Source organism: Homo sapiens, chromosome 17 (assembly GCF_000001405.40).
Source record: "Homo sapiens chromosome 17, GRCh38.p14 Primary Assembly".
Lineage (NCBI taxonomy): Eukaryota > Metazoa > Chordata > Mammalia > Primates > Hominidae > Homo > Homo sapiens.
In genome coordinates, this window is record NC_000017.11 from 40,408,444 (window position 1) to 40,436,291 (window position 27,848).

A 27,848-nucleotide genomic window follows, 5' to 3' on the forward strand; every position below is an offset into this window, starting at 1 on the left:
ATAACAACTATAAGACTTAAAAGTTTGGAAACATTATTAAATATATACCTGCATCATTGGCATCATCGAGTTTGGGAATTCCCTTGATTCTATTATGTTTTACAGCTGAACACTTCTTGTTTAACTGGACTTGGGCCTTAAACTTCACCCAGTTTAGTATGCTTTCTACAATACCACAGCCAATGGCCTGAAAACGAGAAGATTCATATTAGGGATCATATTAGGGAAGAAGGGATCTATCAGAAATCTAGAATACAAATGAGCCTTAATACAAATAAAAATGATTCAAAAATTAAAAAGATGTAGAACAATAATTTCTGGATAGAGGGTGGCACATCTTCCCATGTCAGGTTATCACCACTGAGGGAGCTGCTCCTTTTGGTTCATTCGTTCAATAAATATTTACTATATAATTATATTGTGCTAGCACTGAGCTACTTGTTGGAGATATAGTGGTTAAAACAAATTAGACCAGGCACGGTGGCTCACGCCTATAATCCCAGCACTTTAGGAGGCCAAGGTGGGCAGAACACCTGAGGTCAGGAGTTTGAGACCGGCCTGGCCAACATGGCGAAACCCCGGCTCTACTAAAAATACAAAAATTAGCTGGCGTGGTGGTGGGCACCTGTAATTCCAGCTACTCGGGAGGCTGAGGCAGGAGAATCGCTTGAACCCAGGAGGTAGAGGTTGCAGCGAGCCAAGATCGCACCATTGCACTCCAGCCTGGGTGACAAAAGTGAAACTCCGTCTCAAAAAAAAAAAAAAAAAAAAAAAAAAGGGTAGCCAGGCATGGTGGTGGTGAAATGGCTGTAATCCTAGCTGCTTGGGAGGCTGAGGCAGGAGAATTGCTTTAACCTGGGAGGCGCGGGTTGCAGTGAACTGAGATCAAGCCACGGCACTCCAGCCTGGGAAACAGTGAGAAGCTGTCTCCAAAAAAAAAAATTAAAAATAAATAAATAAAATTAGACACAAATAAAACAAATTGAGACACTTGTCCTCATCAAGTTTAAGACACAACATAGAAGACAGACATAGCTGGGTGCAGTGGCTTACGCCTGTAATCACAGCACTTTAGGAGGCCGAGGATGGTGGATCAAGTGAGGCCAGGAGTTCAAGACCAGCCTGGCCAACATGGTAAAACCCCATCTCTATTAAAAATACAAAAATTAGCTGGATGTGATGGTGCATGTCTGTAATCCCCGCTACTCAGGAGGCTGGAGAATCCCAGCTACTCAGGAGGCAAGGAGAATCGCTTGAACCTGGGAGGCAGAGATTGCAATGAGCCAGGATTACGTCACTGCACTGTAGCCTGGGCAACACAGCAAGACTCTGTCTCAAAAAAAAAAAAAAAAAAGACTGGGCACAGTGGCTCATGGCTGTAATCCCAACACTTTGGAAGGCCGAGATGGGTGGATCATTTGAGGTCAGGAGTTTGAGACCAGCCTGACCAACATGGTGAAACCCTGTCTCTACTGAAAATACAACAACAAAAAAATTAGCCAGGCATGGTGATGCATGCCTGTAATCTCAGCTACTCGGGAGGCTGAGGCAAGAGAATCACTGAAACCTAGGAGGCGGAGGTTGCAGTGAGCCGAGATCGTGCCACTGCATTCCAGCCTGGGCGACAGAGCGAGACTCTGCCTAAAAAAAAAGACAGAAATAAAATAAGTTACAGTGTTATAAGTGTTATGGATAAGCAAAAAGTTTGCTAATAAGGTATGTTCAATATTATATTGGAACCAACTTAGGTGGGGGGAAGGGTAGAAAGTAAAGGCTTTCCTGAGGAAAGGACAAGACCTAAAGTAGCCAGGTGAAAAGGATGTATTTCATGCAGAGGGATTAGCATGTGAATAAACTCTGAGGAGGGGAAGAGCACTGTGCTTTTCAGTAATTTAAAAGCAACAGGACAATATACGAAAAACTGGCACTGAGATGAGTTGGAGAAGTAGGTGTAATTAGATTACAGCAGATCTTTCTTGTTGGCCAAATTATGGAATTTGGACTTTCCCTGAGTGGAAGTCATTGAAAGATTTCAAATGAGAGTGAAGATAAAAATGGGTGTTTTAACACAAAAGTCACTCAAAAGCATTCCAAGGAAAGGACTTAACCAGTATGAAGGTTAAGAACCTATTGTAGTAAACCAAAAAAGAGATAATGGTGAGAAGCTACTGCAGCATCCAAGAGATGATTCTTATTGACCGGATTAGAGAGGAGGGGAAATAAAGGAAGGCTCCCAGCTTTCTTGTTTATACAACCTAGAGGTTGGTTGGGGCTTTTTACTAAGATAGGAAGTTGTTTTTTTGTTGGAGAGTGGGGGGCTGCTTGTATGGGCAAATCAGTGAGTATGGAGGTAACAAATTCAATTTTGGATGTGTTGACTGAAAGCAAGTCTTAGGCATTTAAGTGAGGGTGTTTGTTAAACAGCTAGATTAATTCAAAAGTGATCTAAGCTTAATGGTAAAATGTAATTGGGAAATACTGAAATATAGACGGTCATTAAGTCTTTGGTAAATCAGTTAAAGTAAAGCCCTTTTTTACTTCCTTTTCAGATTGGGAAGACTTGGAGAAGCTCACTATGAGAAGAATCATTGTTTCTGCAGAGCTAAGAAGTGCAATGGAAAATAAAGTCAGGTGTTTCTATTTTTATTTTCCTCTAAGTACTCACAGCTTTGATAAATTTTTCACTCAATTGGCATGTTGATCCAAAGCTCTTGGGTTGTAAAGTCATGTTTTCTTTTGTCTGAGAGTCAAAGGTTGGGTTTTCAATTAAGGCATTTACAAAAATCCACATGTGATTTTTCACCTGCAATAGAAGTTGATATTAAGCCACTAAAAATGTACTCATGCTTTATTTATAGCCTTTCTCTTCTTCCTTGACTTTAGAAAAAGAAAACTGCCAAAAGCACATACCTGATGTGCTTTTACTGCAACACCACCCTTGTTCTTCTTCTTCACAACATCAACAAGTTTAGTCACAATCTGATCAGCTACATAATCAACATGTCTGCCACCCTAATAAGGAAAAATACCAAACTGTAAAACTCAGTATCCTCAAAATTATAATAATCAAACATTAAAAACTAATTTAACCTCCTTTATACTAAGCTAGCCCAATATTCAAGTCCACTTTATATATTAAAAACAATAAGAACACATATATGTAAAGATAAATCATGATTAATAATTTAAGAATAAAATTACCTTGGATGTAGCAATGCTGTTGACAAAGCTAATTTGCTGAAAGCCTTTTTCACTCATAGTTAAACACACTTCCCACCTGTGGTTTACTTGTTCATGTATTACTTTCAAGGAGTTACCAGTTTCATCCAACTTGTCCTTCAAATACATGTCCACATAACTACGAAATCCTTTTACCTGTACAGGAATTAAAGGTAACAGTATTAAGAAAGTTATTAAAAAATAGGTTCAATGATAGACTATGAGGACTTTCCAAAACCAATGCAATGATGTTCACTGATAGGCATAAGGGAATGGTCATTAAAGGACACAGGCCGAGGTGGGTGGATCACTTGAGCCCAGGAGTTCAAGACCACCCTGGGCAACATAGTGAGATCCCCACCTCTATTAAAAAGAAAAAAAAAAATTAGCTGGGCATGGTGGTGCTGCCTGCATTTCCAGCTACTCCAGAAGCTGAGGTGGGATGATCGCTTGAGCCTGGGAGGTCCAGGCTGTAGTGAGCCGTGATTGCATCACTGTACTCCAGCCTGGGTGACACAGCGAGGTTATCAAGAAAAGAAAGAAAAAGGAAAATAAAAAAAGGACATGAAATATTTATTTTAGGTGTTTCTTTGAGAAAGAAATTCCTTCGGTAAGTTTAAAATGAGCTGATTAAAAAATGTGGCATACCATTCTCTTTTCAAGAACATATGTGAGAAGTGGTAAGAAAATACATATGGTTGGGCCAGGTGCAGTGGCTCATGCCTGTAATCCCAGCACTTTGGGAGGCCAAGACGGGTGGATCATGAGGTCTGGTGTTCGAGACCAGCCTGGCCAACATAGTGAAACCTGTCTCTACTAAAAATACAAAAAATTAGCCAGGTGTGGTGGCAGGCACCTGTAATCCCAGCTACTTGGGAGGCTGAGGCAGGAGAATTGCGTGAACCTGGGAGGTGGAGGTTGCGGTGAGCCGAGATCGTGCCACTGCACTCCAGCCCGGGCAACAGTGTGAGACTCTGTCTCAAACAAACAAACAAACAAACAAACAAAAACATATGGGAGGGGAAAAAATTCAATTTTGCACTTGACAATGATTACAAAATCCCTTATTATCCTTAACATCCAGGAAAATACTCACTGGCAGTTTATTTCCATTAAGAAAGACTTTGACATCTTTGGTGGATCCAGCAATATCATATGCTCTTCTGACCATTAGTGCAACAATATCTTTGTCCAGGCTTTGCATTTTAAACTTAGACAAATCAGGCTGAAAGGTGATACATGTATAATCTTCTCCATTGAAGGGCTTGAGTTCCATCTCACCAGCTCTTCCCATATTATCCATCCATGTCTATGGAAGTAAAGAATAGGAAACATGAAAAATTCAAGTCATCTCACAAACTGGAAGTAAATAACATAAATTTATGAGTCCTAATAACCTAATATATATGCTTATAATTTTCCATACTTCAATAGCTTATAAATTATGTTAAATTAAACCAATCATTAATGCCATTATAAATGGCTATACTACTACCATTTATCATTAAGGTACAAGACACTTATTTACTTGCCTGTTTGAACATTTTCTTGTATTCTCTACTGGCTGTTTCCACAGTAAATTTGGTACTGAATATGTTACACAATTTGGCTCCATAGCCATTTCGACCACCTGGGCAAATAAATATGAAACACTATTTTATTGTTACTATCTCATTGACAGCTTTATTTCTTAATCACTGGCAGAGCTATTCAATTATAGAGATTTATTTCCATATCTTTAACCCTCATGCCACAGACAGTCATTTAAATATATATATTTTTAGCAACAAATATGTTATTTCCCCTCAATACTCTACCTGTCACTTTCTTTTCATCATCATCATAGTTACTAGAAGTTAGGAGCTGTCCAAATATGAGAGCTGGGACATACATCTTTTCAACTTTGTGTTCAACAACAGGAATACCTTTTCCATTATTCCATATACTAATTAAATTGTTTTCCCTAAGAAAAAAAGATTGAAAATTGTATTTTACAACACATTAAACGAATGCTTAACATTTAAAAATATTTAAATACTATTATTTCTAAAATATGTATATTCAGGCTGGGCGCGGTGGCCTGTGCCTGTAATCCCAGCACTTTGGGAGGCTGAGGAGGGCAGATCACTTGAGGCCAGGAGTTCTGGCCAACATGTTGAAACCGTCTCTACTAAAAATAAAAAAAATTAGCCAGGCATGGTAGCGCATGCCTGTGATTCCAGCTACTTGGGAGGCTGAAGCAGGAGAACTGCTCAAAGTGTTGGGGTTATAGATGTGAGCCACCATACCCAGCCCTCAATTTTTTTGGCACTTTTCATATATACCTTCTGAAATTCAGCAGGAACATTTCCCACCATGCTTAGTTCCTGACATTCCTGAAATAGGAGTCAAGAGGAAAAAAAAACCTTTTCCAACACCTGAATAGACACTGATAATGTTGAAAAAATACAAAATTTTAAAATGTTAGGATAAACAGAGGGAAATGATTTATGCCCAATGGAAAGAAAAGGACAATCTGGAAACATTATTATACACCACTCCCACTCCTTTTTTGAGACAGCATCTCGCTCTGTCACCCAGGCTGCAGTGTAATGGCAGGATCACAGCTTACTGCAGTCTTGACCTCCTGGGCTCAAGCAATCCTCCCACTTCAGCCTCCTGAATAGCTGGGACTACAGGTGTCCATCACCACACCTGGCTAATTTTTAAATTTTTTGTAGAGATGAGGGTCTCACTATATGGCCCAGGCTGGTCTCAAACTACTCCTGGGCTCAACTGATCCTCCCACCTTGGCCTCCCAAAGTGCTGGGATTACAGGAGTGAGTCATCATGCCTATTATACCCCTTTCAAGAGGATCATCTATACATCTCGTTCCCACTCAACAAAGTACATAAAAACAGGCTGGGCGCAGTGGCTCACGCCTGTAATCCCAGCAATCCCAGCACTTTGGGAGGCTAAGGCAGGCAGATCACTTGAGGTCAGGAGTTCGAGACCAGCCTGACCAACATGCAGAAACCCCATCTCTACTAAAAAAAATACAAAATTAGCCAGGTGTGGTGGTGTGCGCCTGTAATCCCAGCTACTCTGGAGGCTGAGGCAGGAGAATTGCTTGAACCCAGGAGGTGGATGTTGCGGTGAGCCGAGATCATGCCACTGCACTCCAGACTGGGCAATAAGAGCAAAACTCCATCAAAAAAAAAAAAAAAAAAAAGGAAAACCAATATCAATCATAAACTGCCTTGCTCTCAAATAAAATGCTGAAAACTTATTTCAGTTATTTTAAGTTAATTCTTGGATGGTACTATATTTTAGTTAATAACTCGATATACATTATGGTTCTTGTTCTACATAGTACTTATTATCTATAAAAAAAACTAATTAAAATTAGCTCAACTTTTTTTTTTTTTTTGAGACAGAGTCTTGCTGTGTCACCCAGGCTGGAGTGCAGTGGTGCAATCTCGGCTCACTGCAAGCTCCACCTCCCGGGTTCATGCCATTCTCCTGCCTCAGCCTCTCGAGTAGCTGGGACTACAGGCGCCCACCACTACACCCGGCTAATTTTTTGTATTTTTAGTGGAGACAGGGTTTCACCGTGTTAGCCAGGATGGTCTTGATCTCCTGACCTTGTGATCCGCCCGCATCGGCCTCCCAAAGTGCTGGGATCACAGGCATGAGCCACCGTGCCTGGCCCTAGCTCAACATTTTTTAAAGACTATGATATTGAGTCCTTAGGAAAATCCAGGTATACTTTGTCATAATCAATCAGACTAACAAAAAAGTGAAATAAGCACCCTGATCACCCACTAAGGGACACCCCGCATTTATAAGCAGAAATGTCAGATCAAATTATTCTCTACCACCACCTACTGGTTTACTGTTTGAATAGCATCATGAGAAAAAGTTAAAACTCCAGATGCCAGAATACTTAAAGCAATTACTGAAGGTGCTTGCTCAAATATTTAGGGATTAGGTGTCATAAGTCCTGTAATTTATTTTGAAATGATCCAGAGCAAATAGGCCGCGTGCCATGGCACACACCCATAATGCCAACACTGGAGGATTGCTTCAGGCCAGGAGTTCTAAGACCAGCCCAGGCAAAATAGCAAGACCCCTTCCTCTAAAAAAATTAACTAATTAAAAAAAAGATGGAGAAAATATGGAAAAACGTTGGCAACTGTTGGATCTAGGTGGTGGGTATCCATAGGTTTTTCATTTTAGCATTCTGCTTTTGTGTACTTTTCTCAACTTCTGTTTAGGAAAAGCCAACTTCACCAGTAATCAAAATACATGCAGCTAACAATAGCAACGAGCTACATAACAAAAACTAAGCAAAAGACGTACGGATCAATTGTGACTCTAATACAAGACATTTTTGGGTCCCTTTGTTTGTTGTCCGCAGCATTAACTGAAAGAAAATAAAATATACATTTGTAAGAAATTAGTGTTTTAAGAAACATTCTGTAACTCTAAGTAAGATATAGAAAAAAAAGTTCCCAAACAGCACAGGAGTGGCATTAACAAGGTGTTAATTTAGCAATTTTTGTCCATAGTACTGTTTCTACGAGAAGCTCAACCTCCTGGGCTCCAGGAAACCAGCTCACCTTTATCAACTGATTGAAATGACAGGAGCCCTGGCTACAGCAGGTTTGGTAGAAATGATACTTTTTGTTTTTACTTTTATCTTTTTTAAATTTTTATTTGGAATGATACTTCTTATGAAAGATTTGACCAGATCTTTATATTAAAGGATTTACTCACCTAGAATCTCATCAAAGATTTTGTACAAACCAGGAACAAAAGTGACTTCCCTATAGTTAATGCCAACATCTTCATCGTAAACCCACATTTGCTAGAAATAAGGCAAAGAAATACTGTTATTTTTATTCTATATTCATTGTTCTGTTATCATGATTACCATAAAGTGTTCATATTAAGTATTACCATATTTAGGCCAGTTCCAGTGACACTCAGTACATGAGAGATACAGAAAGGTCACACTCAGTACATGAAAGGTACAGAAAGAAGAGTATCCATTTCAACTACTAGGTTAACTGCCTTTGATGAGCTTGATTTTACCTGGGTCACTAATTCCACAGAACCAATGTAGGTGTCTGGGCGGAGCAAAATATGTTCCAATTGTGTTTTCTTTTGATAGATTCTTTCAACAGACAGTCTTTTCTTAGCATCTTCATTTTTCTTTATTTTGTTGACTTGCATATTTTCATTTACAGGCTAGCAATTAAAAAAAAAGAGAGAAAGAAGGGAATTTTTAATCATAAGTTTACCCTAAACTAGGAACAAAATGCCTACCATAGTGAGATGTCAACATGCATTGCAATCTGTTAGTAGGCAGTGGTGGAGTTGCCAGTTTTGTACAAATAGGACAATTTAAATTCGCTGCGGCCAGGTCCCCAGGTGTCAGGTTAAACAGACACATATTATCTCACCAAGTGGGTCTGTCTGGAAACCTCTTTTCTTGAGCAACATGGTAGATGTCATCAATAAAATACACCCACTTCTTTCAGTTCCTGCATACATTATTTACCGAGTGCCTATTATTATAAATTATTTACGGTGTCCCGAGCACACGACACCGTAAATAATTCTAGTTCGGCAGCAGCAGTTTGGGCGGCTATCCGTTCAATCCCTTGGCCACCTGAGCGTTGTGAACTCAGGAAGGGGGCGCTTTTGTAAGCTGGCCAGCTGCTCCAGAGAAACACTGTGCTAGGCTCTGCCCTTTCCAAGATCGGGGACATTCAAGACCGTTTTCAAGCAGCGGGCAGGAGGGGAAAGCATCTGTACGCGCGACTCAATAACGTCGCACCCGGGCCGCTGTAACATGGATCCACTACGGGACCAACGGACTCCTGCCCCTAGAAACAGGGCAACAACGCACGACACCCTGGAAGCCGGGTCATACTTCACTACTAGCACCAGAAGGGGCTTCCGCCTCTCCACGATCACCCCGGAACCGGGAATGGAGAATATGGGCTCCCAAGCCGGTCGCCGGCCTGACCGCAGCCCCAGAGCTTCACCCGTCACGGGCGGCCAGAGAGATGCCCGGGCCGCGCGGAGGCTCCACCGCCAGTCCCCCCCGCGAGCCGTACCTGCAATGGTGACACTTCCATGGTGACGGTCGTGAAGGGGCTCAAGAACCCTGAAAGCGACTAAACAGGCAGGACCCCACGAGACCACCCCCGACCAAGCCGCTTCTCCACAGACGCGCGTCGGTTAGGAGAGCTCCACTTGAACCTTCCTTTAGCCCGCCCGAAGCAGACCAGCCAATCCCTGACTCGCTCTCACCGTCTCCGTCCAGAAGAACCAATCGTAGCTTGCCTTTTATATCCACCTATGAACGGCTGAGTTGGCCGGGGTTTGTTTGAATAAACCAATCAGGTTAGGGAGGCGGGACTAGAGAGGCTTCAAAAGGCACCACTCGGCGTCATAGCGGAGAGATTGACAGGGAATCTGGCCAATGAGAAGGGCTCACTTGTTTTCTCGTGCGGAAAGCTTGGAAGAGATGGGCTTTGGAAGCGGGAAGGGGTGGCCTGAGGCAAAAGTGTGCAGGAGAAAAGCAAAGGATGTTTATTCTCCAGGAACTGCCAATCTATTTAAGATCCCTGAAATCTAAAAACTGTCCTCTGTTCTGACGTTGTTAGCGAGGGGAATGGGAGCCTTAGCTTCGTTTTCCTGAGGAAACTGAGTGCCGGCTTTCTGGACAGGCAGCCTGGCTGCTTGGTTGAAGCGAACAGATTCTGGCATCTGCCTCAACCCCGCCCCCTTTACCCTCGAATTCATTTTTCAAAGAAATAAAAGTAGGCTGTGTGCGGTGGCTGGAGTCTGTATTCGCAGCACATTGGGAGGCCGAGGCGGGAGGATCGCTGGAGCCTAGGAGTTGGAGACCAGCCTGGGCAACATAGCGAGACCCCGTCTCTACCCAAAAAGGAAAAAAAATAGCCAGGCGAGGCATCGCACACCTGTAACTCCAGCTCCGGAGGCTGAGGAGGGAGGATCGCTTGAGCCCCGGGGATCGGAGATCGAGGCGCCTTGAACCGTGATTGCTCCACTGCACTCCAGCCTGAGTGACAGAGCGAGGCCACCTCAAGAGATAAATACATAAATAAATAAATAATAAAAATAATTAAAATAAAAGTGCCACAGTTGTGGTTTGGGGGTTCCATATAGTGGAAGGATGTAGAAAGGCTTTGCAAAATGGAGGGCAGCATTCAGGTCCCCAGTAGAGCAGCGCTGGACTGCAACTGGTAAATCGAAAGGGATAACTTGTGGTGGTAGCCTCTTGAGCTGAGGGTGGGCTCAGCCGTCCGGGGCTGAAACCTTTTCCGCAGCCAGCTGGCCAGATACCCTCCGACTGGCTACTTTTGCTCACCTCCGTGAACCCTGCAGTCCAGAACAGCTGTTCCAATTTGACAAGGAAATGCCAAGACTGAAGCTTTTTTGTTTGCTTGTTTTTTTGTTGCTTTTTTTTTTTTTGAGATGGAATCTCACTCTGTCGCCCAGGCTGGAGTGCAATGGCGCGATCTAGGCTCACTGCAACCTTCACCTCGCGGGTTCAAGCGATTCTCCTGCCTCAGCCTCCCGTGTAGCTAGAATTACAGGCGCCTGCCACCACGCCTGGCTAATTTTTGTATTTTTTTAGTAGAGACAGGGTTTTGCCATGTTGACCAGGTTGGTTTCAAACTTCTGACCTCAAGTGATCTGCCCGCCTCAGCCTCTCAAAGTGCTGGGATTACAGGTGTGAGTCACTGTGCCCGGCGAAGACTGAAGTTTTAAAATTACTCTTACATATAAATGTTTGAGTGGATTAAACAAAGTTATTACCCTTACAAGAAGCCAGAAAAAAAAAAACTGCACAATTTGAGTGCCTACTAATTCCAGCTGAGCCACCTCTTTCCATTCATTGCTTCCTTCCTCTACCTGGGTTTCAGTCCCAACTCAGCAATTTGCCATTCGTGTCATTTCGATGGAGGAAGCCTCTCGGTGCTTCCGTTTCCTCTCCTAAAAAGAATAATTAACTATGATCTCAGAGTAGTGTGAGGGTTACATGAGAGAAGTGTAAGGTAAACAGTGGGCTGACAGTATTAGGTAGCAGGAATTTTCCTTAGGCTGGTGTGACAATTGTGGATGTAATTTTTTTTTTCTTCTTCTAAAAGAAACCAGAGGTCAACCATTGTTACATAACCACAGTGTGTCAAGGGAGGGCCAATGGGGAGCCGTATGATGTGGCAGGAAGCCAAGGATGGAAGTTGCCCATGGGCTAGGGGCACTCGGAAACCATAGGCATGGTGCTTCGGCATTGTTCTGCTCTCTTGACCTTTGGCTCCCTGGCCTCCAGCAGTCTCTGCGTGTTCCCAGCTCTGCTCTGCTCACCACATGTGTTAGAGAGCACAGGACCACCAGGGGCTCAGAGCAGTGGTAGGGAAGCTTGGCCAGTAGCCTCTGCTCAGCCAGAAGACTGACCAGGCCCTGGGATCCAGGGCCTGCATGCCACTCTCTGCAGGACACCCGAGGGCCCTGACAGAAACCAGCCATGCTGGCTTCTACCTCCTAGAACGCACTACCTCCAAGGTAGTGGGGATGGTGGGCATGCTTCCCCAAGGATGGCAGCTCAGTTTCTGCAGCTCCCGGCCTCTACCCTGTAGCTCATCCCAGCCTGCAGTGACCCACTGGGCAATGAGGCAACAGGAATTTAACAAGCAGCTCCAGCCCTATTTTTTAGGGGCCCAGCTTTAAATCTGTCCTGCAGTTTAGCTGGATCCTGTGTGTCTTTGTTCCAAAAACCCAGAAGAAGTACTGTGGAGTCAAAAGGACTTTGGGGACCGGGTGTGGTGGCTCACGCCTGTAATCCCAGCACTTTGGGAGGCTGAGGTGGGTGGATCACCTGAGTTCAGGGGTTTGAGACCAGCCTGGACAACTTGGTGAAACCCCATCTCTACAAAAATACAAAAAAAAAAATTAGCCATGCCTGATGGCGGGTGCCTGTAATCCCAGCTGCTCGGGAGGCTGAGGTGGGAGAATAGCTTGAATCCAGGAGGCGGAGGTTGCAGTGAGCCGAGATCGTGCCATTGCACTCCAGCCTGGGCGACAGAGCAAGACCCCGTCTCAAAAAAACAAACAACAACAACAACAAAAAACACAAAAGGACTTTGGGGCCACACACACCTAAGTTAGAATTCTTCCTGGGTCTCTTGGTTTCCCCATGCCATTATCCTTTATCAAAGACACAGAGGGCAAAATGAGATATGCAAGTGTCGGGGACAATCCTTTTCCAGCTCTGTAGCACAAGGTGGTCTTGCTCTGGCCCACCCCCCTTCTCTTCTGGGTACAAGCTATTTCTCTGCCAGTCCCTCCCTCTTCCCAGAGCCTATTGCAGGGGGTCCTGCAGGACTTGTGGGGACTATTGAAGAAAGAATAGTGGTGGGGGTCTGGGATGGGTGGGCCTGGAAGGCATTGCACACAAAGAGGGAACTGCAGGGCCGGGCACGGTGGCTCACGCCTGTAATCCCAGCACTTTGGGAGGCCGAGGCGGGTGGATCACGAGGTCAGGAGATCGAGACCACCCTGGCTAACAAGGTGAAACCCCGTCTCTACTAAAAATACAAAAAATTAGCCGGGCGCGGTGGCAGGCGCCTGTAGTCCCAGCTACTCGGGAGGCTGAGGCAGGAGAATGGCGTGAACCCGGGAAGCAGAGCTTGCAGTGAGCCGAGATTGCGCCACTGCAGTCCGCAGTCCGGCCTGGGCGACAGAGCGAGACTCCGTCTCAAAAAAAAAAAAAAAAAAAAAAAAAAGAGGGAACTGCAGGTGCCTGCCAGTCCTGGGAGGCAAGAAGGGGTTGGGGGTAGTTCCAGGGGGCTGTGGTGGGGGGAGGGGAAAGATACCATCCTCATTATCCACCCACCCTGCCCCCACTCTGCAGGGGCCCAAAGTAGCTACCTGGACATTACCCCCTCCCTCCCCCAACCTGTACTTGAATATGTGGTTGAGTACTTAAGGCAGATCCCTGACTAGGGTATTTGCTGGGTATATGACTTTGGGCAAGTCACTCAGTCTCCCTTACAAGTTCAGTTGTAGATCAAATTGACTTTTATTTGTGATTCATGAATTGGGGCAGCCCCCATTCTACAAAATAGAATGAAAGCTTCCATTGGGCAATAGCAGAATGGTGGGTTTTGTAAGGTGGGAACCAGGAAACAGCAATAGGAAAAAACCTGATTGGTTAACATCAGGTACTTCAGGTTACTTTTTTGTGGAGTTAAAGCAGAGGGGACTTCCTTATTAAACTGACTTAGGTAGATTGGACTCTCCTGTTTTCAGGAAAAAGTGGTCTGTTTTGGAATCTATCTGCTTCTTTAAAGTTTCAGTTGGATTACATGGCATTTAGCACGAATTACTCCATCTTGGTTTGGTCTAGTCTTTTGGGGCCTAGTGTAGGAGCTCAGTTGAAAACAATGGCCTCCATAATTTTTTTTTTTAGACGGAGTCTCACTCTATTGCCCAGGCTGGAGTGCAGGGGTGCGATCTCGGCTCACTGCAACCTCGGTCTCCCGAGCTCAAGCAATTCTCCTGCTTCAGCCTCTGCAGCAGCTGAGATTACTGGCGTGCACCACCACACCCAGCTAATTTTTGTAGAGGCGGGTTTCGCCATGTTGGCCAGGCTGGTCTTGAACTCCTGACCTCAAGTGATCTGCCTGCCTTGGCCTCCCAAAGCACTGAGATTACAGGAGTGAGCCCCCGCTCCCAGCCAACCTCCCATAATTTTTTTTTTTTTTTTTTGAGACGGAGTCTCGCTCTTTCGCCCAGGCTGGAGTGCAGTGGTGTGATCTTGGCTCACTGCAACCTCCACCTCCCAGGTTCAAGCAATTCTCCTGCCTCAGCCTGCTGAGTAGCTGGGATTACAGGTGTCCACCACCACGCCCAGCTAATTTTTGTATTTTTAGTAGAGATGGGGTTTCACCATGTTGGTCAGGCTATTCTCGAACCCCTGACCTCGTGATCCACCCGCCTCGGCCTCCCAAAGTGCTGGGATTATAGGCGTGAGCCACGGCGCCCGGCCTATAATTTTTAACAATCTAAAATGGGGATAATGGGAGTACCTCCTCCTGCTCTTCATAGGGTGAGCTATCCTCATTATCCACCCACCCTGCCCCACTCTGCAAAATTCTTACACCAAATTCTTAGTGCATTGTCTGGCAAGTAATAAGTGCTCAAGACATGTTAACAATGACTACCTCTGCTCCTTTCCAGGATCTTCCTTCCCTGCTAGTCCCACCAATTCCTTCTCCAAAACCAGCTCAAAATTCTCCTACCCAGGGAGCCTTCTCTGACAGTCTTTTTCATTGAACCTCCTCAAGTCTTTTGAGGTATATTTGCATATGCAGATAAGTTCCTTTTATAAGTATTCTTTGGTTGTTTTCTCCTGGGTTGTGTGCTTCCGTTCTTTCTGCTCTTTGGCAAGGGGAGGGAAGGTCCTGGAGGCATAGTGTCCCCTTCATGGATCTGGAAGGTCCCCTAGAAAGAGCAGCATTTCTTCTCTTTTGCAGGCTTTCCCAGCAGAAGGAGGCTGGACTGAAAGTGTGGCTCTGGATTTGGGGTTTGGAGCTGGCTAGGCTGGAGCCCACTGGGAATTCCTGGATGAGGCTGAGCCAGCGCCAGAGTACTCAGGTGGTTAGGGCTGGGCCAAGAAGCTCTGTTTACCTTGAGGTTGACAACTGGCGAGCCTGGTCAGTTTATTTATTTATTTATTTTTATTTGTTTATTTTTTTACCAGGGATACCAGCCTCTGGTTGGAGGAGGCCAAGAAAACCCAAAATGTCCCATACAGCCTAGCCTCTAGGTGGCCCCTGTCAAAGAAATGTGGACAAAGTTGGGAGGAGAGCAAGGGAGGTTACAGAGGGGAGCAGTTCAGGACCAGAGTTGAGTAATCCCTAAGTCTGCACAGAAGTTCCCTATCCATCAAAAATTTTAAAATGTACACACCTTGTAACTCAGCAGTTTAAATTCTAGGAATACTGAATTCAATCAATTCAATTCAGTTGTGGAATTGTGCAAAGATGTATGTACATATGTATAGGATTATTGCAATGTTGGTGGTTTTCTTTTTCTTTTCTTTTTCTTTTTCTTTTTTTTTGAGACGGATTCTTGCTGTGTCGCCCAGGCTGGAGTGCAGTGGTGCAATCTCGGCTCACTGCAACCTCCGCCTCCTGGGTTCAAGTGATTTTTCCTGGCTCAGCTTCCTGAGTAGCTGGGACTACAGGCACATGACACCACGCCCAGCTAATTTTTGTATTTTTAGAAGAGATGAGGTTTCACCATGTTGGCCAGGCTTGTCTCGAACTCCTGACCTCAAGTGATCCACCCGCCTCGGCCTCTCAAAGTGCTGGGATTACAGGTGTGAGCCACTGCACCCGGCCTATTTATTGCAATATTGTTTTTAATAGAAAATAACTGGCAGCAAGCTAATGGAATGAAATGATATGCAGCTATTAAAGAGATGGACATTGGTCTAAGTGTACTGATATGGAGGTATCTCTAAGATATACTGTTAAGTTTTTTAAAAAGTGAGGCAAATACTGTCTAGAGCATAATTCCATTTGAGTAAATAAAATTATATATATTATACATACATATATGTGTATACCCATATGTGTATATATTATATATACATATATGTGTATACACATATATGTGTATATATATGGATTGAGTATATATATATGTATATATATATGGATTGAGAATATCTGGAAGGAATTGTAAGGAGGTGGAGGGAAAGGAAGACTTCCTTTCTTCTTTCTTTTTGAGACACAGTTTCAGCTCTGTTGCCCAGGCTGGAGTGTAGTGGCACCATCATGACTCATTGCAGCCTCAAACTCCTGGGCTCAAGCGATTCTCCTGTCTCAGCCTCCCAAGTAGCTGGGACTACAGGCCTGTGCCAGCAAGCCTGGCTGATTAAAAAAAATGTTTTTTTTAGAGACGAGGTCTTGCTATGTTTCCCAGGCTGGTCTCCAACTCCTGGGCTCAAGTGGTCCTCCCAGTTCAGCCTCCCAAGGTGTTGGGATTACAGGCGTGAGCCACTGCACCCAGCCAAGAGTTGCTTTTTGTATTTTTCCTCCTATTTGAAAATTTAAAAGTAAGGTCACCCTTCTCACCCCTGTCACCTTCCCCCACCTCATTGAAGGCAGGCATACCTGTCTATACACGTTTGTGTAAGAATGTAATTTTTATAGATAAAGATAGATTATCAGTAGACTTGGGAACTCAGTGCTAAGAACTCTGCAGAAAAGTTAAATCTTTGGACCAAAGTAAGGGACACTGTGCTGTGGTGAGAAGTCCCAGACCAGCTCTGCTGTCCCTAGTTGCACGAGCTTGGGTAAATCCCCTTCTCTCTCTAGTTTTCAGTTTCCCCACCTGTAAACTGAAGTTGAGGTACCCCAGCTAGAGGATTGGGTTGCAAAATGCCTTCTTCACAGTCTCAGAGAGGTGATAGTGAGGCCGGGCATGGTGGCTCACGCCTGTAATCCCAGCACTTTGGGAGGCCGAGGCGGGCAGATCACCAGGTCAGGAGATGGAGACCATCCTGGCTAACACAGTGAAACCCTGTCTCTACTAAAAATACAAAAAAAAAAAAAAAAAAAAATTTGCCGGGCATGGTGGTGAGCACCTGTAGTCCCAGCTATGCGGGAGGCTGAGGCAGGAGAATGGTGCAAACCCGGGAGGCGGAGTTTGCAGTGAGCCGAGATCGCGCCATTGCACTCCAGCCTGGGTGACAGAGTGAGACTCCGTCTCAAAAAAAAAAAAAAAAAAAAAAAAAAAAGAGAGAGGTGATAGTGAAAGCACTTGGAGGAGGTGAGGCCCAGTTAACCAATCCAGAACAGTCCCACTTTCATCTTTTCATATTTTAGGTTCTGTGTAAAACTTCATTAAACACAGGGCTCCACTGCTTAGATTTTTAAAATTAATGGGTAAATTACTGTTAAGGGCTTTTCAAGTTCTGACACTGTAATTCCAAATATGACTTTTCATTTATTGAGTTGGTTTAAATCAGGGTATGCCTGCAGCTTTGTCTTCCTTTCCCCCCCACAGAGCCCAACCAGGGCTGCAGAGGAGCTCAAGCCCATCGGGGCTGAACCCTGGTGTATGGGGAGGCAGAGGAGGGCCACGGATCCTTTTCACTCTTTATGTGACATCCCTTCCCCCATCTCGTGGCCTAGTGGTATGGCTGGGGCTCTGCCAGCTCCCTAAGACATCCCCAATTGCCCCTCTCTGGCACCAGTGCCTGCCGATGGCAGCTGCTGGAACTGGAGCTTGGCCTTAGTTTTATGCCTGCTGGAGACTTGATCAGCAAGACCTGGGCAAACATAATGAGCCCCTTGCTGCTTCCTCACCCCTAAACTCTCCAGCTCCCTACATCCTTCCTCTGCAGCCCACAGAATGGAAGTGGTAAAGTAGCCCTCCCATCTGACAGCAGAGGCCAGGGCTGGGCCTCTCTGTTCTCTCAGCTTTTCACACCAGGAAAGGGAGGCAGAACTGGACTGAGTATCTTGATAGTCCTCAGGCTACTTGAATGATCGCCCTCAGTATGTTTTATTTGGTCACTGTGGAACATGGAAGGTCATCACCGAGGAACTTCTGCATTGGAATCCTCTACCTCGGAAGAGGAATAAAAAAGTACGTCTCTGGAGCGTCTTCCCTCCGACGTTATCCGGCAGTTGTCCCCCCCTGCTGCTATCTCCAAGGCAATCAGGGCCAGTTTATGTCTACAGGGTCCCCTTCACTGACGATCTGAGACACTAGGCAGGTTGGAAAGGGTGGAGTGGTGCTAGGAGCAAATTATTCACCTGAAGAAAATAGAAAGTTAGATCCTTCTGTTTAGGATTGAAGAAAATAATGGTGTTTCCCAAAGGCCTGGAGTTAAGTGCTGCTTATGTGGTTTTCTGTCTTCCTTCCTGATCATGAGAGAAGCTACAGGAGCAGGAAGATGGGAATCCTGACTGATACACACTCTATTTCCAACAATAGTTTTGCTGATTATAGTTTGTTGAATGCCAATTATAAGCACTGCACATAACTTTCTCCCTAATCTTTACAACAATCCTTTAAACTAAGGCAACTCAGGCTTGCAAGAGTTAGGCAGTGTCCCCAAGATTGTGAATTTCTACTGATCTTTCAAGACACAGATCCAATGTCACTTCCTTTAAAAAAAAATATTTATTTACTTATTTATGAGATGGGGTCTTCTTATGTTGCTCAAGATCACCTCAAACTCCTGGGCTCAAGGATCCTCCTGCCTCAGCCTGCAGAGTAAGCTGGGATTCTGTCACCCAACACACCCAGCTCAATATCACCTTCCTTTGAAGCTTGCTCTAACCAGCCTTGGTTTGTCTTTGTTTTCTTGGCTTCCTGTGCATTTCTCTCTATTACACAGCACTGTGTGTTTACCCACAGGTCTCCCACTTCAAACCACAAGCTCTTCTAAAGTCAGGGATTTACTTATTTCTTTGGTACCCTCACCTAGTACAATGCCCACCCACTGGAGGCCTTCTGTGAATGGTATTATTAGCACTATCATTGTCCACCTGGAGGCAGCACACCCAGCTACCAGACCCCTTGTGCAGGAAAGCCAGCTCTCTGGCCAGGTGGCTGGGCTGTCAAACCCCTAAGTGAAGGGAAATGTCCACACAAGCCTCTGCTTATGCCCCTATGGAAGCCAGGGATGACTGTACCAGCAGTTTGCTGCATCCTCTTTGGATTCAGTGGAAGGTACAGTACTCATTGCTGGCATCAGCTGGGCTGTCCTTGGGGACACTGGGGCTATGCAGGAACATCTCTACCTTGGACTCAAAGACCCAGTGCTACGGTTTGAATGTGTCCCTCAAAAAGCATGTGTGGAAAGTTAATCCCCAACACAACAGTGTTGGAAGGTGGGGCCTAACGGGAGGTTTGTAGGTCATGAACTCCGTGCTCATGAATGGATTAATGACAATTATAAAAGGACTTGAGGCTGAGGCTGCAAGTTTGATCTCTTGCTCTCTTGTCCTTTTGCCTTCTGCCATGGGATGACACAGCATGAAGGCCCTCACCAGATGCAGGCCCCTTGATCTTGGACTTCCCAGTCTTTAGAACTGTAAGAAATAAATCCATGCTTTAAATAAATTATCTAATCTCAGGTATTCTGTTATAGCAGCATGAAACAGACTAAGACACCCAGTGAGGAAGCTGCAGGAAAGAAAACCCAGAAGGGGAAAAAGGGGTCAGTTGCAAGGGTCTCAGAGAAAGCTTCTCTTGAGTAGGGCTGCATCTCATAGGTAAAAGGGGAGAGGAATTCTCCACTAGGGCTAATGAACCCTGCTCCTAGCTGGGAAGTGGATAAAATGTCAGCAGGGGTCTGATTGAGGAACCAGGTTATGTCTGTCCTCTAGAAGCGGAGGCAAAACAGTCACAGGGGACAGTCACAGAGTGTCTCTGTAGACACCTTCCTTCTTCTGTTACTGGGGGAACACCTGGAGGCAGAAGGTGCTAGGGGTAATGATGGTGGCATTAGAGGCAGTAGGGAGGAGGGAGAGCATCCACTTCTGCCAGAGAACTTTGAGAGAAGTGGAGCAGATGAAACAATGAGGGGAGTGGCAGGGTATTGCCAATGGCTTAAATTATGAGCAGATAGGTGAGAGAAGAGAGGGCAGGGGAGGCATCTGGAATTATTTATTCTGAGAAGAGAAAGACATTTTCTTCTTCTTTTATTTTTATTTTTTTGAGATGGAGTCGCTCTGTTGCCCAGGCTGGAGTGCAGTGGTGCGATCTCGGCTCACTGCAAGCTCTGCCTCCTGGGTTCACACCATTCTCCTGCCTCAGCCTCCCGAGTAGCTGGGACTACAGGCACCCGCCACCACACCTGGCTAATTTTTTGTATTTTTTAGTAGCGACGGGGTTTCACCGTGTTAGCCAGGATGGTCTTGATCTCCTGACCTCATGATCCACCCACCTCGGCCTCCCAGAGTGCTGGGATTACAGGCGTGAGCCACCGCGCCCGGCCGAGAAAGACATTTTCATAGGCTTCACTGACATATAGGAATTGACATGTGTGGCTGGGCACCGTGGCTCACGCCTGTAATCCCAGCACTTTGGGAGGCCGAGGCGGGTGGATCATGAGGTCAGGAGATGGAGACCATCCTGGCTAATGTGGTGAAACCCTGTCTCTACTAAAAATACAAAAAATTAGCCGGGCATGGTGGCGGGCGCCTGTAGTCCCAGCTACTTGGGAGGCTGAGGCAGAATGGCATGAACCCGGGAGGCAGAGCTTGCAGTGAGGTGAGATCGCACCACTGCACTCCAGCCTGGGTGACAGAGCAAGACCCCGTCTCAAAAAAAAAATTGACATGTGTAAGATCACAATTCCTGGTCTATTGGATGTTCTACTGTACACACTGCTTCCTCAAAGCCAAGGGAATTAATCCCTAATGGTAGGAGGTGATATTTGACAGGAATATTTGAGGATGTTGTTTTGAGGAGGAAGAGGAGTGTATTAGTCAGGGTTCTCTAGAGGGACAGAACTAATAGGATATTATATACATATATATATATATGAGTATATATATATGAGTTTATATATATATGAGTTTATATATATATATATGAGTTTATTAAGGAATATTAAACTCACATGATCACAAGGTCCCACAATAGTCCATCTGCAAGCTGAGGAGCAAGGAAGCCAGTTCGAATCCCAAAGGTGAAGAACTTGGAGTCTGATGTTCGAGTGCAGGAAACATCCAGCATGGGAGAAAGATGTAGGCTGGGAGGCTAAGCCAGTCTAGTATTTTCACATTCTTCTGCCTGCTTTTATCCTAGCTGTGCTGGCAGCTGATTAGATTGTGTCCAGCCAGATTAAGGGTGGGTCTGCCTTTCCCAGCCCACTGACTCAAACGTTAATCTCCTTTGGAAATACCCTCACAGACACACCCAGGATCAATACTTTGCACCTTTCAATCCAATCAAGTTGACACTCAGTACTAACCATCACAAGGAGGTAAAAGAGAAAGAGGAAAGGGCAGCCATAAAGAAAGGGAGCCTTGGCCTGAGGACACGGGCCTCTTCTGTTCTCTCAGGGAGACCCACCTGAGCATAGATCACCTTTCCAGGTGGACTAGAGGCTCCAGGAGGCCCCTCCAAGCCTCTCCCACTATGCAAGCCTTGCTCTCTCTTCTATCCTGTATTGGGAAGGGGGGTAGAATACAGGATAAGATGAGCTCTCCAGCCCCTGGGGAACCCCCCAGGGGGAGATCCTAGGGGAGTGAGGTACAGGGTTAGTGAGCCAATAGGCATGACTGAGCATCTATTAGGCGTCAGTTTCCGAACACACAGGGATGTGTAGGACACGGTGTCATCCATGTAAGCAGCATTTGTTGTAGGAAAAGATGCAGGGAAGGATGGGGGAGGGGATGCTAAAGAAAGAGAAGGAAGGAAGAGACTGAAGAAACAAGGGGAAGGGGAAGAAAGAAAGACGCAGTTGTCGATTCTCTCTCTCTCTTTTTTTTTTTTTTTGAGATGGAGTCTCGCTCTGTTGCCCAGGATGGAGTGCAGTGGCACGATCTTGGCTCACTGCAACCTTTGCCTCCCAGGTTCAAGCTATTCTCATGTCTCAGCCTCCCAAATACCTGGGACTGCAGGTACGTACCACCATGCCCAGACAGTTTTTTATATTTTTAGCAGAGATGGGGTTTCACCATGTTAGCCAGGATGAACTCGATCTCCTGACCTCGTGATCCTCCATCCTTGGCCTCCCAAAGCGGTGGGATTACAGGTGTGAGGCACTGCACCCGGCCATCAATGTCTCTTAACTCATACTCTAGTTGTGGCAATCGGATATCTAGAGAAAGGGTGGCTAAAAAGCTCAGTGATAAGTGAGCAGTCACCTAAGATAAGTTACAAGGGGGGTGTCAAGGGAGGTTTCAGGAGGGCTTGGGACAGAGGAGTGGGCTGGCAGGGTAGGTGGCTTCTTCTCACCTGTAGACCTGGCTGGCCTGGTTGTCCTTGAGGAGACCCTGGCCCAGAGGCTTCACTGGTTCTTGAGCTCCATGGATTCCCAGGAGCTTGTCTGGGCTGGGCAACCCTGAAAGGCCCAGTGTCCACAGGGTTCCTGGCAGCCCAGAAACTCCTGGGCATCTAGGGTGGTCCTGGGGCCCTTCATGGCCAGAGTAGACCTAAGGTCCTAGTGGTCATAGAGATCCTGGTCTGCCAGGAGGTCCAGAGGCCCAATTCCACCCTGCAACTGGAAGAAGAGGCTGGAGTCATGGATGTGAACCACAGAAGTAGGGGTGTGTATTCGAAGGTAGGGGTCTCTTACAGGGGCAGTCAGTGGGGCCAAGCCTGGGAACCCTGCTGGGAGTAGAGCGTGCACACGGGAAAGTGCCCACGGCCCTGAGATCACTTAGGGAAATCCAAGATGGTCCTGGGGGTGGGGCTACTGAGTTCCAGGTCCTATCCCAGCACTTGGGTGTAAATATAGAGATGGTCTCTATAGTTAGAGACAATATGGTTTCTTAGCTTGAGACTCCTGTCATCACCTTTACCCCAGACCCTTAATTCACAGGATCTTCAACCACAATTCTACCCAAATAATACCATCACCTGTCGTCCACCCACCCTACTCATTACCCACCCACCATCCATTCAGCCCCATCCACCATTCACTCTCCTCCCCACCCACTCACCATCCACCCATTTGTCTGCCTACCGTCAACTCACCACCCACTTCCTACCAACTGCATACCATCCACCCTCACCGCTGGTCTAGCTGCTCCTTCCAAAAGTAGTGCTAATCAGGAGCCACAGAGGGTGCTGGGAGGCTAGGGTCTCTGAGGAGGGTCTGGGGGTCCCCTGGGGAGTTCCTAAGGAGCAGGGAATCTTAGGATCCCTAAAGCTCCCTTTCACCAGGAAAGCCAGAGGCCCATTCTGTCCTGGGGTACTCCTCTGCCCCTGCTTTCCCTGCTGGAACAAATGGGACATGCAGTAGAGATGGAAGCAGGGAGGAGAGGGTTTTCTGTCTCACTCCAGCTCCTTAGTCTTCCTTTTGTTCACCCACCTCCCCTCCACTGCCATCCCAGAGGATCCCAAAGGCCCAGAGATTTCTCACCCAGGGTGGCACTTATCTGACATTCAGGGGGCCCAGCAGGGCAGGCACATCCAGAAGGTGAGTTGGGAGCAGGATGAGATAGGCTTGGAAGAGAGGTTAGAATCAGGCTGGCTTTTAGATTACTAAGTCCCACCTCCCCATTGTACAAATGGGAAAACTAAGGCCCAAAGAGAGGTGTAACCATAGATGACTGCAACGGGGCGGCAAGCTGACCTGGGGGATGGGGTGAGAAAGCCAGTGATGCCTCCTCATGTGGTGGGGAATAGGGTCACATGAACCTGTCACTTTCTCCCTAGCTCTGACATTCCACATAAGGTCCTTGGGAGGCAATAGGGTGGGGCCCAAGAAGAGAGGAGTAGGAGGGGGTGGAGTGCTGTGTGCCTCTACCCAGCATCCATCTGTTTCCCTGACCATCTCACCTTTTCAGGCTGTACACCTTCTCTCCCTCCCCTATCCCATGCCTGCTTACTTGTTTGCCTGTGTAGGAGCCAGGTACTGAGGAGTACAGGTCAGTGTGGCCTGAAAGAGCCTAATGAAACTCCCATTCATTAGTGGAAGTCAGGGTGGGGAGTGGGGGCAGGGGACCAGCATTCCAGGTAGCTGACCCCTGCCTCGGACTTTGGACTCAGAACCCAGGGGTCTGACTTGAGGAACAGCAGAAACCCATCCTCCAGTCCATTGCCCTCAGAGGGCTCTTGGGTGCTGCTGGGAGCAAGCCTGATGGATAGATGTGGGCTCTGAGACTTGGTCTAGCTTGACAGCTACTACCTCATTCTTTCCTCTGAAGAATGAACAAATGAATGAAGAGGGAGACTTTACCCCAGACCCTTAATTCACAGGACCTTCAACCACTCTTCTACCCAAATAATGCCATCACCTGTCATCCACCCACCACCTACTCATATCTGTTTTCTGATATCTGATTTCATATCTGTTTCTAAATCTCTCCCACCTCTGCAAGTTTTTCATTTCATCACATCTATTCACCTGTCTGTGCCTTTCCATCTCTCTGTCCTGTTCCCTCTTTCAGCCCCTCCCTCTCTTGGTTTTTCCCTTGCTAGTACTCCCTCCTCTTCTCTCTATCCTTTCACTCCAAATCATCATAGAATCTTAGCATCAGAAGAGACCCAAGAGGGTCATAATAAGGACACCATCAATTTGTAACCTGCTTTCTGGTATACAAGTCTGTCATTTTAATAGACAGCCTCATTTGATCCTCCTTAACAGCCTGCCAGAGTGAAGTAGGGAATAGCATCCCCAGTTTACAGATAAGGAAACTGAGGTTCACAGTGGTGAAGAGACAAGCCCACAGCTAATAAGGACAGAGCTGAGATCTGAACCCTTGGCTCGGACTGCAGGACCAGTGCAGACTGCCCCACAGTTTGTGCATCCCAAGCTGGGAGCAAAGCTCTTTTCCATTTCAGGCTGTCTGGCTTTCCCCTGGCTTGGGGCCCAGCTTCTGCTGCTCTTTAGATCATCATGACTGGGTGGGGGTAAGGAACAGCCCACACAGATCTCAAAGATTACTGGCTCCAAACATCAAGTCTCTGAAAATGGTGCAGACCAAGGGAGTGAATCCAGGCTTCAGGAGAGGAGACAGAGGCTCTGTGGATTAGGAGTTCCAGGTGTAATAGGCCTTGTTGCTGGGCCTACCCAGCCCTGTTCCTCTGCCGTCAAGTTCTCTCCAGCCATCAACCAGTCATCTTTACCTCTCTCAGGCCAAAGACAAAAGGAGACTGCAGTGAAAGAGGCCCCTGGCATGGAAAGCCTGCTGGGCTCTGTGGCTTCTCTCTGAGACCCTTTCTTCGCGTAGCTGAGGTTAGATCTGGGGCCCGGGATGCACCCTGACTGAGGGCACCAGAACTCTCAGGTTAGCGCTAGAGCTGGGCCAGCAGGGAAGACACAACCCCCTCTGGGCACACAGAATCTGACAACTGGAGTTGGAAAGACAAGGGCTTCTGTGGTAGCAGGGCCCACTGGGCAGGAGGAAAAGGTGCTGATTGGGTTTGGGGAAAAGTCTCCAAGGCTGTGCTGCCTCTGGAGGTGGGGAGCGGGAGGTGCAAGTTGGAGGCTGGGTGTGAATGCAACACAGGCTCTGTTGTCCCAAAAATGAGTTTGAATGACATTGAGTTGCATGTGACCTTAAGCCCATGTTTTTACTACCTGGAGCCCCATCTATAAAATGGGTTTATAGGGTTACCATGGTAATCAATGATCATAATAACAGGCATTGAGCCTTACTCCATGCCAGGCACTGTGTTTAGTGCTTTACACACATTGTCTCAGTAGGTTTCTGCACAGCCCTATCAGGCTGGGCTGGCATTATCTCTCTTACAACTGAGGGCATTTGAGGATAAGAGGGAGGATGCCACTTTGCCAAAGTCACAGAGCTAGTAAATGGCAAATCCAGGATTCAGTGCAGGCCTTTTGGCTCCAGGCTCTTAATCTCATTCACTTGGCTGGTCATGGCTAATAACTAACACTCATTGGGCGCTTAATGTTTGGCAGGCAGCATTCTCAGTGTTTTATGCAGATTCATTCATTTAGTCATCATAGCCACACTATAATGATGTTCATTTAATATGAAGGATGAGGACACTGAGGCACAGGCTAACTTATCCTGGTTTCTGCTGCCAGGAATCCAGCCCAGGCAGGCTGACTTGAGAGTCAGCACTCTTTAAAAAAATAAAAAGGAAAAGCCTTTTTTTTTTTTTTTCAGTAAAAATGGAAGTATAACATGCATACAGAAAAGTGCAGAAATGAGAAATGTCTAGCTCAATAAATGTTCACTTAGTGAGGTTGTAACTAAATAATATTACCTGTACCCCATAAGGCTACCTTCACTCCTCTCCCCACATGTAAACTTTATCCTGATTTCTAAAAATATAGATTAGTTGTCTTAGTCTGTTTTCTGCTGCTATAGCAGAATACCACACACTGGGTAATTTATAAACAATAAAAGTTTATTTGGCACATGGTTTTGGATGCTGCAAAGTCCAAGAGCATTGCACTGCACTGGGATCTGGCAAGGGTCCTCCCATGGTGGAAGGCAGAAGGGCAGAAGCAAGTGTGTGAGACACAGAAGGAGGCCAAACCTCATCCTTTTTTTTTTTTTTTTTGAGATGGAGTCTTGCTCTGTCACCCAGGCTGGAGTGCAGTGGCATGATCTCGGCTCACTGCAACCTCCATCTCTAGGATTCAAGTGATCCTCCCGCTTCAGCCTCCCGAATAGCTGGGACTACAGGTGTGTGCCACCATGCCTGCCTAATTTTTGTATTTTTAATAGAGACGGGGTTTTGCCATGTTGGCCAGGCTGGTCTCGAACTCCTGACCTCAGGTGATCCACCTGCCTCAGCCTCCCAAAGTGCTGGGATTACAGGCGTGAGCCACTGTGCCTGGCACCGTTTTTTTTTTTGTTTTTGTTTTTTTGAGACCGGGCCTTACTCTGTTGCCCAGGCTGGAGTGCAGTGGTGCAATCACAGCTCACTACAGCCTCCACCTCCTCAGGTTCAGGTGGTGATTCCCCCACCTCAGCCTCCTGAGTAGCTAGGACTACAGGTGCACGCCACCACACCCAGCTAATTTTTGTATTTTTCGTAGGGACTGGGTTTTGCCATGTTGCCCAGGATGGTCTCAAGCTCTTGAGCTCAAGTGATCCTCCTGTCTTGGCCTCCCAAAGTGCTGAGATTACGGTGTAAACTTCATCCTTTTATCAGGATCCCACTCCTATGATAACTAGCCCACTCCTGTGATAACAATGAATCCATTTATGAGAGTAGAGCCCCCACGACCTAATCATCTCTTAAAGGTCCCACTTCTTAATACTGTCACAACGGTGATTACATTTCGACATGAGTTTTGGAGAAGACATTCAAACCGTAGCATTAGTTTTGCCTGTTTTTGAGTTTATATAGAGTGATACAGCAGTAATCTTTTGCTAACATATGATTTGTCTATATCGATGGATGTATCAACAGCATATTCAAGTCGAGACTTAACCATTCTACTGTTGGTTCCATTTCTGGCTATTCTGAAGAGTGCTGCTGTGACACTCTTGAACATGTGTTTTGGAACACACACACACACACATTTCTGCTGGGTATATATCTAGGGGTGGAATTACTGGTTGCTTCTCAGTGGTTGTACAAATTTGTTTTCTTACAAGCATTATATGAGAATCCCCTTACTCCACATTCTGGTATTGTCAGTATTTTATTTTTTTACCCATCTGGTGGGTATGGAGTGGTTTCCCATTATGTTTTTCCATGTGTATGTATTAAATGAGGCATAACTGGAAGCAGGCACTCTTACCACCTACTCCGTACAGTTTCTCCTAACAATCCCATGCACTGCGTATTTCACAGATGAGGAAATGGAGGCACGCCGTTACTCCCTTTCCTCTCTTGCAGTCCCCTCACCTTTCCTGGAGGCCCTTCCCTACTTTTCCAAGTGGGATTGGGATGTCTGGTCACTACCAATCTT

The 27,848-nt window shown here is 46.1% G+C and overlaps 1 protein-coding gene across 3 annotated transcripts in view, besides 3 other annotated features; it reads right to left on the reverse strand.

Moving 5' to 3' along the window:
- The window catches only part of TOP2A (DNA topoisomerase II alpha), a 29,372-nt gene extending 19,919 nt beyond the window's left edge, over positions 1-9,453 (reverse strand). For 2 of the 3 annotated variants that reach the window (NM_001067.4, XM_011525165.3), the window contains exons 1-11: positions 9,328-9,453; positions 8,297-8,452; positions 7,979-8,069; positions 7,562-7,625; positions 5,037-5,182; positions 4,752-4,849; positions 4,316-4,528; positions 3,202-3,375; positions 2,911-3,012; positions 2,666-2,803; positions 49-187 (exon numbers count right to left, since the gene is read on the reverse strand). In NM_001067.4, coding sequence (NP_001058.2) covers positions 49-187; positions 2,666-2,803; positions 2,911-3,012; positions 3,202-3,375; positions 4,316-4,528; positions 4,752-4,849; positions 5,037-5,182; positions 7,562-7,625; positions 7,979-8,069; positions 8,297-8,452; positions 9,328-9,348 — 1,342 coding nt within the window. In that variant the 5' untranslated portion in view covers positions 9,349-9,453. Of the gene's footprint in view, positions 1-48; positions 188-2,665; positions 2,804-2,910; positions 3,013-3,201; positions 3,376-4,315; positions 4,529-4,751; positions 4,850-5,036; positions 5,183-7,561; positions 7,626-7,978; positions 8,070-8,296; positions 8,453-9,140; positions 9,242-9,327 lie in introns of those variants that run through there. The other variant, XM_005257632.2, reaches the window with a different exon arrangement.
- Positions 9,112-9,637: an enhancer, noted in NCBI's record as "NANOG-H3K27ac-H3K4me1 hESC enhancer chr17:38573807-38574332 (GRCh37/hg19 assembly coordinates)". NCBI's record gives its function as "activates a minimal SCP1, AML or CMV promoter by ChIP-STARR-seq in naive H9 embryonic stem cells {active_cell/tissue: H9 hESC(naive)}" and the evidence as "EXISTENCE:reporter gene assay evidence [ECO:0000049][PMID:30033119]".
- Positions 9,359-9,448: an enhancer, noted in NCBI's record as "active region_12145". NCBI's record gives its function as "activates an Ori minimal core promoter by ATAC-STARR-seq in GM12878 lymphoblastoid cells {active_cell/tissue: GM12878}" and the evidence as "EXISTENCE:reporter gene assay evidence [ECO:0000049][PMID:35858748]".
- Positions 11,117-11,659: an enhancer, noted in NCBI's record as "H3K27ac-H3K4me1 hESC enhancer chr17:38575812-38576354 (GRCh37/hg19 assembly coordinates)". NCBI's record gives its function as "activates a minimal SCP1, AML or CMV promoter by ChIP-STARR-seq in primed H9 embryonic stem cells {active_cell/tissue: H9 hESC(primed)}" and the evidence as "EXISTENCE:reporter gene assay evidence [ECO:0000049][PMID:30033119]".